Consider the following 16396-nt stretch of genomic DNA (forward strand, 5'->3'; position numbering starts at 1 on the left):
AGTGGCACGATCTTGGCTCACTGCTACCTCCACTTCCTGGGTTCAAGTGATTCCCAAGTAGCTGGGATTACAGGTGTGTATTACCATGCCCAGCTAATTTTTGTATTTTTAGCAGATAAGGGGTTTCACCATGTTGGCCAGGCTGGTCTCCAACTCCTGGCCTCAAGTGATCCACCCACTTCGGCTACCCAAAGCATTGGGAGTACAGGGGTGAGCCACTATGCCCAGCCTCACATCATATTTCTAATCCCGAGACTGTAGAGCTGGTGTCTCTTTTTGGAAAGGATGTCAGTAGAGAAATGGAGTTCCCCAAAATTACAGTTTCACATATTAGTAAAGTTTCTAAAATACAGTAATAATGTTGAGAGCTGACATAGGGACTAACTTAGTTTTTTTTTTTTTTTTCAAATTGTCACCTAACTTTGATTTTGCTAAATAAGGACATTAAAAGAAAACCAAAAAAGTCCACTATTGGCTATTGCCACTATTTGATTTTTTAAAAAATAAGCGTATTTTAGCATCTAAAAGTAGGAAGGACCTCAAATAAATGAGTCTTTGTTCTTGGCCAGGGAAAACAGCGTTGTCAGCATTTGATAACTGTTTTTCTAGGGTATGTGCTGTTATTCAGTTAAAACCTTGCCTGGGACGCTAGCATTCGGTAAATACTTGTTGAATAAGCAAATGAAACTTAAGCTTCTATGTATAGAAACCTAAGTCACTTCACATTCTGATTAGCAGAGTAATTGAATATTCTTTTCAGTGTGTAGATCTATACCCAGAACCACAGAATATTGGAACTGTAAAAACCAACTGCATTAAATAGATGTGGTATGTGGCAGTGACAACTTGAAGGTTGTGACTAGAACTCCGGTCTCTGGAGTGTTCTATTATATCACACCAAGCTGGTCACCAGCCCATGTGTTGATCCTCCATTGTGATAGCAACAAAGAAAAGACTTCAGGACATTCTTTCCTTTACCCTAATCCTTGATCTTCAGTCTTATTTAGAAAAGCTTAATGTTAAAGATCTAGTTTATTCAAAACTAAAGATAAGGAGTATGAGAATTTCTATTTCGGAGTGTAAAGGAGGAGATGTTTCCTTGGCTTCTCTGAGCCTACAGGCCTTCCTTGCTCTTTAAGGAAGTAGAGAGAGAGAGGAAAGTAAAGTATGCTTTTGTTTTTTAAGGTTACTTTGCTGGGAGTAGTTTGCATGCCATTTGGTTTTCTTGGGTGGAATTAACTGACTTAAGTTTTAAGTAGTTGGGACTATTTAGAAACAATGCCTATCCAATGTTTGCCATAAAGGCAGAGGGTATTGGCTTTAGAAGTTAATTCTTCTCCAGGAGTGAAAATGAGCTGCTAAACCAGAAGCAGCAGAGCTAAAGAAAGTAATTTTCCACCTGGCCAGTGCATGATGTGAAAGGTAGACTAAAAGAATGAGAGGACCCATTTTCTGATGAAAGACTAAGCCATGTTGAAACAGCCCTGTTGAGGATTTTATTTTAAATCTATACATTCACAAAGGAGCTTTGTGTATGTCTTTCCCTATTTGTTGTTTGGACTAGGAAGCCCCACCCAGTGCTTGTTGAAGGCAGAAAGTTGTTGAAAGCAATCCGGGATTTGAACAGTGGATTGAGGTTTCGAATATCCAGTGAACCAAAATATATCAGGGTTCCCCTGGCCAAGATGAGTGACCATTCTGAGGTGTTACGTATTTCTTGAATGGGGATTTTAGGAAAAGTTTCTGTATTTCTGTGCTCATTTTGTTGACCTCTGTATGTGCAAAATCTCTAAGGGGGTGTTTGGGCACTTAGATTTCTTGGATGCAGATTTGTTTGTGTATGAAACAAATTTTAAATTGTTTCGTATACACTGGATTTAAAATAGTTTAGTTTACTAAAGTGTTTTAATGTTTTCATCTTAATTTTCAGTTCTTATAGTCTTTAGATTTAGGGAGGCTGTTGATGGCATCCACATATGCATTTTAATGTCATTTAAAATGTATTCTGCTGAATTTAACAATTTCTGACCTAAAACTTGACATTTTAGATTTAAGTCGGTAAAGCACTGATTTAAACTGGATTTTAACTGGATGAAATTCTGATTTAATGAGTGTACTGACTGGATAAAATGCCAATGATTTAATTAACAAGCACGTTTAACAGGATGCCCTATATATTAGTTAAAAGTGAAGCAATTGAATTAGGTACCATTTCAAAATGGTTGCTGTACCCACTCACCCTCTCTATCCTCCAATTAGGGTATATTTTGAAATGATTGCTTTTCCCTTTTCCTTGTGTAAAGAGCCTGAGGAAATTTTCTTCGGCCTTCATCATGAGAACCTGGTGGGGTTTCTGGAAGTAAAATTCATGAAAGTATAAGGGGCCCCCAAGACGGGACTCCAACAAGTTTTTAACTCTCAAGCTAGTCCACACTCAGCCACCAGTAAATTTATTGATTACCATTGAAGTGTTCCTACCAATTACTGGCTCTGTGGCTTCTGCTCTCAGGTAAACTGATTTTCTATAGTCACCCATCTCTCTAGTTTTTGAGGAAGTGGTTTCCCTGTGACCTCTATTCTCGGAGAGATCTAAGAAAAGTTGTTGATTTTCAGTTTGATTATCTTTTTTTCCGTTGTGAAGATGGGAGTGATGACTTCCAAGTTCTCTACATGTTGGAGTGGGAACTGGAAGACCTAATTAACTTCTTAAGAAACTGTCAAACTGTTTTCCAAAGTGGATCTAGCACTTTACATTCCTGGTATTGTATGAGAGTTTCAGTTTCTCTCTATCTTTGTCAACACACCATCTTTCTAATTTTAGATATTCTAATAGGTATCTGGTGGTTTCTTACTGTAGTTTTAATCTGCATTTCTCTAATAGCTAGTGATGATGACCATTTTTTCATTTGCTTATTTGCCAGTTGCAAATCTCTATTAGTGAAGTATCTGTTCACATATTTTGCCCATTTTTTAAAAGTTGGGTTGTTTTCTTACAATTGAAGTTTATTTTTTCTTATACTCAAAATTTTAATTCACGCATAATAAATTGTACATATTTATGAGGTACAATGTGATGTTTCGGTACATTTTACATTGCATAATGATCAAATCGTGGTAATTAGCATATCTATTGCCTTAAACATTTACCATGTCTTTGATGTAAGAATATTCAAAATCCTCTCTTCTAGCGAGAATATGAGTGTATTTTAAATGTACAACTATTTGTTTTCTCACAATCCTATAAAATGATAGCTTGAGTCAATGAGTTTTCCCCTCAAGTCCTATCAACTTTGTCTATTTTAGTGAAATTTAATATTGTCTAGAAAACACTAAACAAACATAGTTATTCAGAGAGGATAACTGAGCCCTCTGGTTATTCTCTCTAACCCACAAAGGAAGCTGAACACTTGATGTAAACTTCTTCATCAGAGTAAATAATAAGAATCTGCTCCATTACATACAAAAGAAAAAATAACTGGAGAGAGAGTCTCTGCTCTGAGGTTATTATCCTGTGGTCTTTGGTTTTGGCACATTCTCCCCCACCCCATGCCTTTCTCCCTCATCTTTAATGAGTATCCGTATGTATGGCAGAACAGTATTTTTTTTTTATTATACTTTAAGTTTTAGGGTACATGTGCACAATGTGCAGGTTAGTTACATATGTATATGTGTGACATGCTGGTGCGCTGCACCCACTAACTCGTCATCTAGCATTAGGTATATCTCCCAGTGCTATCCCTCCCCCCTACCCCCACCCCACAGCAGTCCCCAGAGTGTGATGTTCCCCTTCCTTGGTCCATGTGTTCTCATTATTCAATTCCCACCTATGAGTGAGAATATGCGGTGTTCGGTTTTTTGTTCTTGCGATAGTTTACTGAGAATGATGATTTCCAATTTCATCCATGTCCCTACAAAGGACATGAACTCATTTTTTATGGCTGCATAGGATTCCATGGTGTATATGTGCCACATTTTCTTAATCCAGTCTATCACTGTTGGACATTTGGGTTGGTTCCAAGTCTTTGCTATTGTGAATAGTGCCACAGTAAACATACGTGTGCATGTGTCTTTATAGCAGCATGATTTATAGTCCTTTGGGTATATACCCAGTAATGGGATGGCTGGGTCAAATGGTATTTCTAGTTCTAGATCCCTGAGGAATCGCCACACTGACTTCCCCAATGGTTGAACTAGTTTACAGTCCCACCAACAGTGTAAAAGTGTTCCTATTTCTCCACATCCTCTCCAGCACCTGTTGTTTCCTAACTTTTTAATGATTGCCATTCTCAAAGAACAGTATGTTTTTAAGTCTCTGCAGTCTTGGGCCAAGCTCGTTCTATTCCCCACTCTACAAGAATCACAAGAGCGCCAGGATTCTGTTTGGGGTTGCCGTGGACACAGAGTTCTTATTACAGAACTGACATTCTCAATACGAGGTAAAGACCTAGAGGTGAGGTCTCTGAGCAAGGGAGTCCCATCCCATCCTCTGCCCTCTGTTGGCTGTTGTCCTCTCATCTTCATCAGGAGAATTAAAATCATGTAAAGTTTTGGCGGGGGAACTAGATGGTGGTCTCTGGGGCCCATAGACAGGAAAGTTTGCTTATACCCAGCTGGGGGGACCACTAATTGACATTCCTTTCCCCTCCCAGGGACCTTACAGAGTCCCCTTACCCTCACGGTACTGGGGGACAACCAGTGGGTGTCAGGCCAAATAGCAGTAACCTTGTTACTTGCCAGGAATTGGGTCAAGATTTGATTTAACAAGCTTGGTTTTGGGAACTAAAAAATGAAAAAAGGAAAAGCCATAATCTTGAAAGGCAACAAGAGAGAAAACTGCCAACAGGATCTTGATTAAATTTCTCCCTCTTAGAGAATGTTGTACTGACGACACAAGATCTCAGACTTGTGTGATTCTAGCAGCTGAACACACCCCAGGCTCTTCTGACTGGCAGTGGCTCTGGAAGCAGTCTGGTCTATAGGTAAGCAGGTCCAGGGCTTACAGGGAGAAACTCCCAGAAATCCAGCTCTGCCTTGGGTTGCCCTGATTCACGTCCAAAGATGTGCTTGGGCCACATCTCTGGAGCACAAGGTGGTAGACTGAGAGCTTTGATATTTCTACTCCTACTGCAGATGAGCTGGTATAACTCCGAAGGTATGGAATTTGCTGTTGTCTGTGACCCAGCAAATAAAAATAGAAAAATAATTCGATAGAAAAATAATAGAAATAGAAAAAATTTAAAAAACAAACCAAGCCTCATTCTATGACATTTTAGGCAGTGTGATAATATGCATATACTGGTCACTTTAATCTTTCCTACAGGGGCAGCTGGTTGCCCTAATGGTGGATTCTCTGTTCAAGGATGGTGAGCTAGTGTTCAGCTCAGGAAGCCACTCCACAGAGATGGCCACCAAAAGGGCTTCAGTGGTCCCATCTCAATTAACACCTGAAACATTGTTAATTACTACAGTGAAGGTCACAAATGGGTTTTTATTAGTGAAACTGTTGGCTTACAAAGCAGCATGATGGATGTTACAATTATATGACATTTTAAGATCTGTGAATCAACTAACGTGTTTTGGAGACAGCCCACCCTTGCATAAGCAGGATAAAGGTGTATGAGGGTGGCCTGTAGTGTATATTTAGAGACGACACCCAAGGCTTGATCCTCATATGGTCCTATCTCCAGGAAGGTTTAGGAAGATTTTGGCCTCTGAAACATTAGGAATCTGTTGAGAATGAAGCTTTCATGCTTGGAGCACCTAAAGTGCAGAAAGCTTACAGAAGCTTATGTACTGTGCCTGCTTGCTACTGAATGTTTTGTTAAATGAATATCTGTATGTATGGCAGATTTGGTCAGAGACCTACTTTTCATTACAACCTGGTAGCATGATTATAAAGGTGTAGCTAACTTTCAACTAACTCAAACTTCTGTGGTTGCTCCTATCTACCAAAAAGCATTTAAGAATTCTGCATGACCACTTCAGTTTAGGACAGTTTGCAATTCTCACCTTCCTTAGAGGGCAATTTAGCTAGTTACTTATTCATGTCCCATGAGGGAAGTCATTCTGTGCCCCAAAGCAGCTTATCAAAGTATTATTTCAGACTTCATGCAGTACTCTCCCTGAAAGGAGTTCAGGTAACATCTATGGATGTCTCGTGCCCTTTTTGGAGATTAGTTTCCCAAGGAACTTGCTTAGCAATCCTGGCTTGTCACCTGAATCTGGAGTAATTTGAGTGTCTTCCAGTTCTCTTCCTCAGTAGAGGATGTCTGAAAAATCTAGTAATCATTTAATAAGGCTGCTTATGTCAGAAACTCAAATTCTTAACCTTTTTGGTGTTTTGAACATTTTCCCCTGTTATAATTTATTAGTGTATTCTGCATAGACAATCCAATTATTCATCCTGCTGAAAAGTAGCGGATGCCTATAGATGCCTTTCTTTTTGTAAAAGGTATTGTTTTTCCTGAGACCTGGATGAATTTCCAGGAGCCATTCAAGGACATGAGAACAGCCACTTAGAACTTGAAAGGTTCCTCTCATGGCCCTCAGACCAGGCTAATGAGATTCGATAATTTGAACTCTGGCACTCCTTTCCTCACAGGCTGAAAGACTAGCACAATATTAATGTCTATCTGTGCTTAAAGGTTTGAGCTATTGATCAGAGTCCAAAATTAGTTTGTGTAGGGGAACTTTTCTTAAAGACATAAAAAGATACCATTTAATATATTGTTTCCAAAATATGTTTCTCACATATTTCCACTGTGAGAAAGAGGTTCTGTGGTCAAATAAGAAACCTCAGCACACTCTTAGAGAATCCCAGTTGTTGTCAGCAGCAAAAAAATGTATGTGATCAGTTTCTTAAACTTATTTAAATGTTTGAAAAGTTAGAAAATTGTGGCGAAGAGCATTCTTGAGTCTTGGGAGTGTATTACCTTGATGAGAATGTTTGTGTATTTGAAACTAAAAATGTGTATCAGTTTATATTGCCACATACTGATTTTTATGACATGATACATGGTGTAGAGAGCAGGTTGTCTAAAAACCAATACTGGCAAAATGCTGAATATTCAGCATGGTTTTATGAAGTTGACAGATGTGGAGTGTATTTTGCATGTGTCTTAACTTACAGATGAGGAAATGAAGTTGCAGAGAGATTAAATTAGCCAAGCCAGGGGTTTCGGTGCTAGGAAGTCTTGATATTGTAAAATATAGCCATATAACTTTAAAAAAAAGAATCCAGACAAAAGGAAAACAAAATCATTGTAAACACATAATCCACTTTAAGTTCACAAAATGTTTTAAACATAATTAAGGCTATGCTTGACTTACCTACTTGTTTATTTCCTATCAAGGATGACCGGGAACTAGCCATTGATAAACATTCATTATTCTTACATTTTCTTTCTTTTTTCTGCGTCCTCTCTCTCTCTCAGACACACACACACACACACACACACACACACACACACACACACACACACACACACACACACAGTCTCAGAAGTACTAGTGCTGTATCCTGAAATTGTTTCTTTAGTTCTTGTCAAAATTCCTCCGATTTTATTTTTTGTGTCCTGAAATACTGTTGAGATTAACATCCTCATTGCCTTCCAAAATATCTGACTTTATTTTTTGTATGTGCCTTTTACTCTTTGGTAGAGTTATGGATTCACTACCAGATTCTACTGTATGCTCTGACAACTATGACCACAATGGGTGAGTTGACTGATCTAAGTGGTGAAAAATACTGGGAGCATCAATGGCAATAACAGCTTTCTATCAGAGACTTTAAGCATCTTTGGTAACATTGTTTTTGAACCAGAGTGGAAAAAATAAGATCAGGTTAGAAGAGGGATGCTGGGTGCTCAAAGATAGTTTGTGACCCCAAGTAATTAGCAGCCAAAACCTTAGGAAACGATCAGAATGCCTGTGTATGAGACTCTGTCAAGAGTGATCCAAGAGAGTAGAGAATCCTACTTGGAGAAAGAAGGTGGTAGCATTGGACAGGCAGCGGAGGAGCCCTCAGCAGAAAGAAAGGAGCTAAGAGACCCTGTATCTGTCCCTCACGCTTCAGAGCTGGTGCCCCAAACTCAAAGCCATCATCACATTGTATGGAGCCCCTGCCTCAGGTTTAGTCACTTGATCCTATTTGAGGGGAAGCAAAGATATCTGTGACTCATGAAGAGCATAAAGGTGGAGGAGGGACTTGATAATTAGGAAATCAAAATGGGCAAGAATAATGTGTGCCTACAAATGGGACATGAATTTGAAGCAAATTTAAGTTAAATTTGCTGCCATACATGATGATCAAGTTCAGTAATAAAAAATTGTATTTAAATCTTGATTCATTAAACTTTTTTGAGAGTCCTAAACAATTTTTATTACCAACACATAGAGACTTCTTTCTAGAGAAAAATCAAGTACCAGGTGCCAAATAACAGATTTACATGAGAATTTTCAGGGACAACACATTGTAATTTGTAGCACAATCATAGCCAATTTGAACCAAAAAAAAAGTTGTGTATGCATTTATGTTGTTTCTTACTATTTACCTTTCAATCCTTTGCACTGACCCCAATGAATTGACATCAGAAATCTGTGCTGTAGTCAACAATGAAAGATGATGTCATAATATATATTGGAGATGGGAGGAATTCAGGTTTGTGAAATTCAGTCTCAGAATTATTCATGGGAAAATAGTTTTCTGGACACTGATTCTAAAATTCTTTCTAAAAAGTTGGGTCTTAAGTAAGCTAAGTCATATTTACCATATCTTTTAGATTCAAGGAATTTTGTTGTTCAAATAAATTGGTCATATCACCACTCCATGTGGCAAATCTCTAATATATTTTTGCATTTGATGTTTGAAGTAAAATGCAGCAACCTTACATAGAGCTTTAATTATAAGCTTCATGTGTTCAAATATAATTGGTACTTTTATAACTGATGCAGTTTTTGTTATACTCAGAAAGTTATTTATCGTAAGATTACCAATATAGTCACCAAAATATTTTTTTATATTTTGAATTAATTTTCCACATTTAAATAAAGCGCTGCTGCTGTTGTTACTATTCCCTTTTAACGTCTCCCCAAATTAGTGTTTTATTCTGTACACTTTATGAGATGGCAGCTTAACAATACCCTTAATATGGCCCAAGGATTCTACAAAAGGAAATGCTGGTGTGTTTTGTCAAAAGTGTTTTCTGGCTGGGCATGGTGGCTCAAGCCTGTAATCCCAGCACTTTGGGAGGCTGAGGCAGGTGGACCATGAGGTCAGGAGTTCAAGACCAGCCTGGCCAATATGGTAAAACCGCGTCTCTACTAAAAATACAAAAACTAGCTGGGCATGGTGGTGCATGCCTGTAGTCCCAGCTACTCGGGAGGCTGAGGCAGAAGGATCACTTGAATCCGGGAGGCAGAGGTTGCGGTGAACTGAGACAGCACCGCTGCACTGCAGCCTCGATGACAGAGCAAAACTCTGTCTCAAAAAAAAAAAAAGTGTTTCCTGTGCAGATTATCTATTCACCACTTGCAGATTTGAAGTTTACTAGGCATGTGTGATATCTAAAAGTTCATTTGAAGAAAAAGTTTCAATGCCAAAAATGTTTAAAAGTGGGATATAGGAAGATGATGCAAAGGTGGAATCTCCAAACATTTCCATTTTCACCAGGAGGACTTAATAGAATGTCTAACAGCTACTTTTAGATATTTTTGAAATGTGAGAGGGGTGAGTTAGTTAACACAAAGTAGACTGTGAGATTAAAATGTCTATTCACTCTAAAATCTCAGCATTCACTTTCTTATTGTCAAGTTATTCATCAGACTCTTTTCAGAGACAACCTAAATGCAAGCTCTTAGAATATTACAACATCTTTTATATGAGATGACAGGAAATAATTTCATGGCCTTTTAAAGGATAGATGAGGGATTTGAATACCACTTTCAGATTAAGTAACTCCTTTATTGAATATTACACTGTTTTATGGTTCATATCTCTATTGTGGTTGAGAGTTATTGCCAGATTTATTCGCTGACAAGTAAATATTATTCAGTTTATAATTAATATCCACGTTGGGGGGAGATACTTTCAGTCTATGTTAGAACTATCTTCAATGTTCAGTATCCTGTTCCACATAAAACTTTCATGCACTAGTTTTAGCATTCATTGATTTTTATGTGAATCAGTTGTAACTGTGATCATTACAAAATGGTGATTTTTTTTTAAAAAAAGCAGTTCTTCTGTGTTTAATAAGTACCATTCTATTATAAGGAGAGCTATTCCTGCCCCTATTTATTCACTATTACTATGAACTTATAAATTCTTACATTATTTCAATGAATTACAATCCTTTCTGTCATTATTTATTTTGATGTTTAAATGGTCCCATATTTGGCCAGTGGGACTCCCTAAAAGCTAGCCCCTGTGTCCTTTTGACTTGACATGTTCCCATCACTTTTTGAGCATTTCCCCAGCCCTAGAATCAGCCATTTACCCAAAGAACCTCATTCCCTTTAGAAACCAATATTTTGCATTTGGTATGCTGATTGCCATTGGCTCATTGCTACTTGTAGGCCTTTTTAATATATAGATGAGAGTACAGATATACATATTGACATATACAGATATATATACATATGCAACAATTTTAATATGTTTAATACACAGTATATACATTTATATGTGTTCTGTAAACTATGTATTATTGTTTTGCCTATATGTTTTTAAGTTTACTTAAATGGTATTAAGTTGTATCTCATTTTGTTAGTTTTTTGCTTAGTAACATAAGATTATTCTTCTTGTGCATACCTTTTGTTGTTGCTTTTAACTGGTATGAAAAATTGCACAGCATGCATCCCCTAGTGAGGAACACATATATTGCTTCCTACCATTTGCCTTCACAAAGAGTGCCGCTAAATGATTATCCTTATGCCAGACCCCTATAGACCTGTTTGAGTATTTCTGTAGGAACATGAAACAGGACTTGATGGGCCATGGGATTGCATATTTTGAATTTGACTGAATACTGCCTATTGCTCTCCAATGGTTATACCAGTCTGCATCTCCTGAACAATGCATGATGGTTCCTACACATACACATTCACAACAACACTTGACATTATCAAACTTTCCAATTTATATAATCAGTCTAATAGATGGTAACATATTGCATTATGTTTTACTTTGAATTTATGCGATAACTTATGAATTTGAGCATCATTTTATGTTCTTATAACATTTGGGATTTCTTCTGTAATGGTCTATTCATGAACTTAGCCTGTTTTTCCACTAGTGTTCCTATCTTTGTCTTGTTAATTTACGTGTGCTGTTTTTGAATATTTTATATTTTAGAATAAGTTAATCAAATTTCTTTTAAAATTATGTTTAATTTTCAAAGTGATTATGTTACATTTGTAAACAATATAGCAAGAATTCACTCTTTTTAGTAACATTAAAAACATGGTGCTATTGTTTGGAGGTTTGTACCCCCAGAACCGCATGTTGAAATTTGATCCCCAATGTTGGAGGTGGGGCCTAATGGAAGGTGTTTGGAAGATGAATAGATTAATTCCCTCCCTTGGAGTGAGGGTGAGTGAGTACTCACTGTATTAGTTCTTGCAAGAGCTGGTGGTTTAAAAAGAGACCAGCGGCTTCCCGCACCTTGATTCCCCTCTTGCCATTTGACCTCTGCACGTGTCAATTCCCCTTCATCTTCCACCATAAATGGGAGCAGCCTCAGAAGCAGATGTTGGCATCAGGCTTCTTGTGCAGCACACAACTGTGAGCCAAATAAACCTCTTTTCTTTATAAATTACCCAGCCTCAGGTATCCCTTATGGCAACACTAAACAGACTCAGATGCATGGAATCCCATTCAAAAGTTTGGACTATCGCTTTATGTATTCAAATCATCCTTCATGTCAGTTTTAGACATTGAAGTTATGTTCTCTAATCCATCATCTGCCTGTTAGCTTTGGCATTGTTGTTCTTCATTCTCTTCATGACAGAACTTTTTGCCTTATTATTTTACTTTTGAAGTTTGAAATTTTCCCACTTTCAGTCTACAAAGGTAATTTCTAATCCTCATAGTTTTAATTTACACATTTAATGCTTTAATGTACTTAGAGTCTACCCTTCAATATGGTGTTAGGTAGGGATTTGGTTTCATTTTTCTCTCAATGGTAGGCTGATTTTCCAAATACCATCTATGAAACAGTTCATCCTTTTTCCTTGTTTATATAATCATCGTCAATGACATATATCTACATAGGTTTATCTCTGAGCTCAATATTTTGCTCCATTGATACTTACGGCATCCCTACACCTTTTTTTATTACCATGATTAGTTATTAATGGAGCCTTTATATGTTGATACAGATTTTGTAGTAAGTATGTCAATATTCTAAAAAATTTTGAAAAATACCTATGTGGGCCCTGTGGTGTTTGGGAGAGGGAAGTGCTTTAAATACTAGGTTGATTTCTTTGTTACTTGAGTATTCTATTTCTATATAAATATATTTTCTTGCACTAATGTTAGTGTCTTATATTCGTCTAGGAATTTTTCCATTCCATCTAAGTTTTCACATTTATTAGCATATAATTGAATAATCTCATTTTAAAAAATTTTAGTTGTGTTCTAGTTATGCTCCCTTCTTGTACATTTTATTTGGATATTCACTCTGTTTGTTCTTGATTATTATTGCCACAGGTCTATTGTAGTAATCTTTTCAAAGAGACACACTTTTGTTTTGTTAATCTTCTCCACGGTTTTTTCTTCTCCAGTTCAGTGACTTATGCTTACCTCCTTATGTTTTGCTTCCTTATTACTCCATAGACTTTGCCCTGTGCTCCTTTTCCAACCTCTCTACTTAAATGTGTACTCTTTGTTTTTAACCATCTTGACTTCTTATTAATGCTTATATATTGGTAAATTTTCTTCTAAATATTGCTTCATTGTATCCTACAAACTTTGTCATGTTATTATCAATCAGTTCTTAGTATTTAAAATATTTCGTGATTTCCCTTTTAACATAAGAGGCATTCAGTAATGTGTAATTTAGTTTCAAATGTGGGTTTTTTTAAAAAAGCTAATCATATTACAGTATATTCAGAGAACAGCAATATGATATTGATCCTGTGGACTTTATCCTGTGGAAGCTTTCTTTATGGTACAGAGAGCTATGATGTTGGTCTGTCCTTGTGCCCTCATAGGTCTTTTGCTCTTTCTAGAAGGTGTTAGAATTTTCTCTTTGTCTCCATTAGATAATTAAAGCTGATATATTTCTTTCTTGAATTCTGGGAAATTTATCATCATAAATTTTCACATTTTATTTTGCATTTTTAGTTTTCATTTCTTCTTAGATTTTCATATTCTAGATGTTAGATAGCTGTTTTTATTCTCCATAACATTCTTCTTTTTAGTATGTTCTCTTTATTCTTTTCTACTATTTTCTGGGTAGGTTTCTCAATCTAATCTTCTAACTCTAAATTAATTAGCTTTTCACATATATCCAAACTACTATTTATCCCTCACCAATTTATATTTTTTGACAGTCATACTTTTACAGTTAAGGCTTTCTCTTTTATTTTTTCTTACGACTCCCATTCTCATTTCATGTTTCAACATCTTCCTTTGTGTTCTCTTATCCTTAAGAATATTTGTCATGCTTACTTTAAAATCTTGGTCAGTGTGTTCCAGTAGTTTTGCTACAGTTGGTATGCTGTTGTTCAGCTTGTTGTATTTCTTTTTCAGTAGTTGTATTCCTCAGATATCTAATCATGTTGGTTTGTGAACTCAGATTTTTTGTGGCTATTGGCTACTCTGTCTTGTCATTTGTATTGGGGAAGGACTGAAGGACAATCTCAGTCTGCTGCTGTTCTTACAACATAATTATTAATAGCACCCACTTTTTCCTTTCAAAAGTGTCCTGGTTTGGGCAGGAATTATATAGTCAGTCGCACTGAAATCTAGGACGTAAGCTGTGTCATTGTCAGTAAGTTTAAAATGAAGAGAAGTGATGTGCCCCAGGGTAGAGAGTCTCAGGAACCATGAAACACTGACCAGGCAACTCCTGTGGGTTGTGAAAAGGAAAAACTTTAGACAAGGTAAATTTAAGAGTTTAATAGTGCAAGAATGATTTGTTAGTTGGGAAGCTTTTAGAACGAGAACAAGTTCTGAGAACTGCAAGCTGGCAATGTGGCCAGACAGCATTATGGACAGAAAATGGAAATGAGGTCCAGAAACAGCTTTGTTGTTTACAACTGATTACAGCTGGATGTTTTGTCTTATTTGAATCAGTCAGCCACCCGCAATTGACTGAAGCTCAGCCGCTCTAATTGACTGAGACACAGCTGTCTGTTACAAGTGTATATTCTATTCATAATTATGCTGTTAGTTTACACACTAGGTTAGCTTGCAGTTTGTTGCATAAGGACTCAAGTACAGAGGCAACCTCAGGGAAAATTTCGTTTAATTAAACAACTATATCACCTTGAAGCTCCTGAACAAAGCAGCATTGGAGGAGACAATCTCTCTGGTTTGTAACCTGGGCTTTGGAGATGGAGGCAGGTGGAGGAGTGAAGGCCCAAGGATGGCTCTTCAGCCCTTCCCTGTTTTCATCAGCCAGCCTAATGCTCTCCTAATTTTACTGTAACTACTTCTAGGTAGTTGCTGTTGTTGTCTATGGAGACAGGCAGGGATGGTCACTATTGTTTCCAAATGGCTAAATTGCATGTGTTGTGTTTTGTTTTTTTAGAACAGCTAGTTTATTAGTTGTAGGGTTATTGTAGCTAATTTGAATAAAAATTAAGCCTACAAATTCACATGGTATTTGATTATGTACAATTTAGTTTAATTCTTTAGCTCTGACCCAAATGAACTGATATCACTAGCCCATGATGGAGTCCTCAGTGAAAGTGAAATGATATCACTAGCCTATAATGGAGTCATCAGTGAAAGGTGTTGTGTGTGTGTGTATGTTCATAAAGATACACGCAAATGTTAACTATAGAGTTTCTTGGACACTGTTTCTAAAGTACTGGTAGTTTCAGCTTCTGTATGTAACATCCTTTTCTTTTTGTGTCTACTTGGATACAAGATAAATAGATCACAAGAAGTCTACTTCTTCTTCCTAGCTGAGTTGACTCGTAGCCAAAACTTTTAGAAAACTGTTAGATTGCCTGTGTATGAGATTCTACCAGGTTGGGCTATATTAGTTTCTAGGGCTGCTTTAACAAAGTATCACAAACCAAGTGGCTTAAACAAAAATTAATGATCTCATAGTCCTAGAGACTAGAAATCTGAAATTGAGGTTGTCAGTAGGGTTGGTTTTTTATGAAGGCTATAAGGAAGAATCTGATACCTCTTTGCTAGCTTTTGCTGGTTGCTGGCAATCTTTGGCATTCCTTGGCAGGTAGACTCATGTCTAGAGTAACTGCAGCTATTTGACCAAAAGTGTAAGTCCAATTATGTTTGTATCTGAATAATATGCTTTTATAATTCCTCAGCCCACAGCCAATTGAGTTGATGGTAGTAACCTATGATAGAGCCACCCATGAAATGTGAATTAAAAACAAAGATTTATATACACGTAGGTATATATATACATATATACACATAACATACACGCATGCATACACATACACAGAAACATAAAACAAAGAGAAAGAGAAGTTGATATTTGTAAAATTCACTGTCAGGCATATCCTTGGAAATACAGAGTATCTTTGACACTATGTCTAAATCTTCTTACTGTAGGATCTATAGATAACCTTCTTTTTTTTTTTTTTTTTTTTTTTTCAGACCAAATTGGATAAAAGAGGATGAAGTCATGAAAGGGATGTTTCTTCCTCTTAGTATATTTGTCACTCTAAGTTAGTAGTATGCAATCCCTTAGGAACCTCTGAGGTTTTCCATTTATGAGACTCTCCTACTACTAGAGTGGGCCAAAGGGAGAGAGAATCCTATTTGGAGCAATGGGGAGGTAACAGGTGACAGGGAGGAGTGAAGCACTCAGCAAAAAGAACAGGGTTCATGAAACCGTAATGGGTTCCTCACCCTCTAGTGTTCTACCACCATGTGAGGCTGGTGCCCCAAACCAAACCCAAACCCACAATCATTTTGTAGGGAGTTCCTGACTCAGGCCTACAGCTACATGGTCATATCTTCTGGGCAGGAAAGACAGCCATGATGGGTGAAAGTAAAGAAGTGACGGACTTAGGAATCAAGAATTTAGATGGGGTAAGAGGCATGTTTCCTTACAGACTGCAGTTACGTTAGAAATAAATGCCACTGGCCAGGCATGGTGGCTCATATCTGTAATCCCAGCACTTTGGGAGGCCAAGACGGCTAGATCACTTGAGGCCAGGAATTTGAGACCAGCCTGACCAACATGGCAAA

The 16396-nt window shown here is 37.2% G+C and overlaps 1 pseudogene across 1 annotated transcript in view, besides 1 other annotated feature; it reads left to right on the plus strand.

Moving 5' to 3' along the window:
- TPTEP1 (TPTE pseudogene 1) overlaps positions 1-16396 on the plus strand; it is a 46920-nt pseudogene that overhangs the window by 13271 nt on the left and 17253 nt on the right. Inside the window, 1 exon segment of the transcript NR_001591.1 lies at positions 7660-7716. The product of NR_001591.1 is annotated as a TPTE pseudogene 1 (transcript).
- Positions 9341-9510: an enhancer, noted in NCBI's record as "experimental_62165 CRE fragment used in MPRA reporter constructs". NCBI's record gives its function as "activates a minimal promoter by MPRAs in K562 erythroleukemia cells, with activity observed for both the introgressed and non-introgressed 22:17105497 variant alleles {active_cell/tissue: K562}" and the evidence as "EXISTENCE:reporter gene assay evidence [ECO:0000049][PMID:34662402]".

The sequence above is a fragment of the Homo sapiens genome, chromosome 22 (assembly GCF_000001405.40).
Source record: "Homo sapiens chromosome 22, GRCh38.p14 Primary Assembly".
In the NCBI taxonomy this organism is placed as follows: domain Eukaryota; kingdom Metazoa; phylum Chordata; class Mammalia; order Primates; family Hominidae; genus Homo; species Homo sapiens.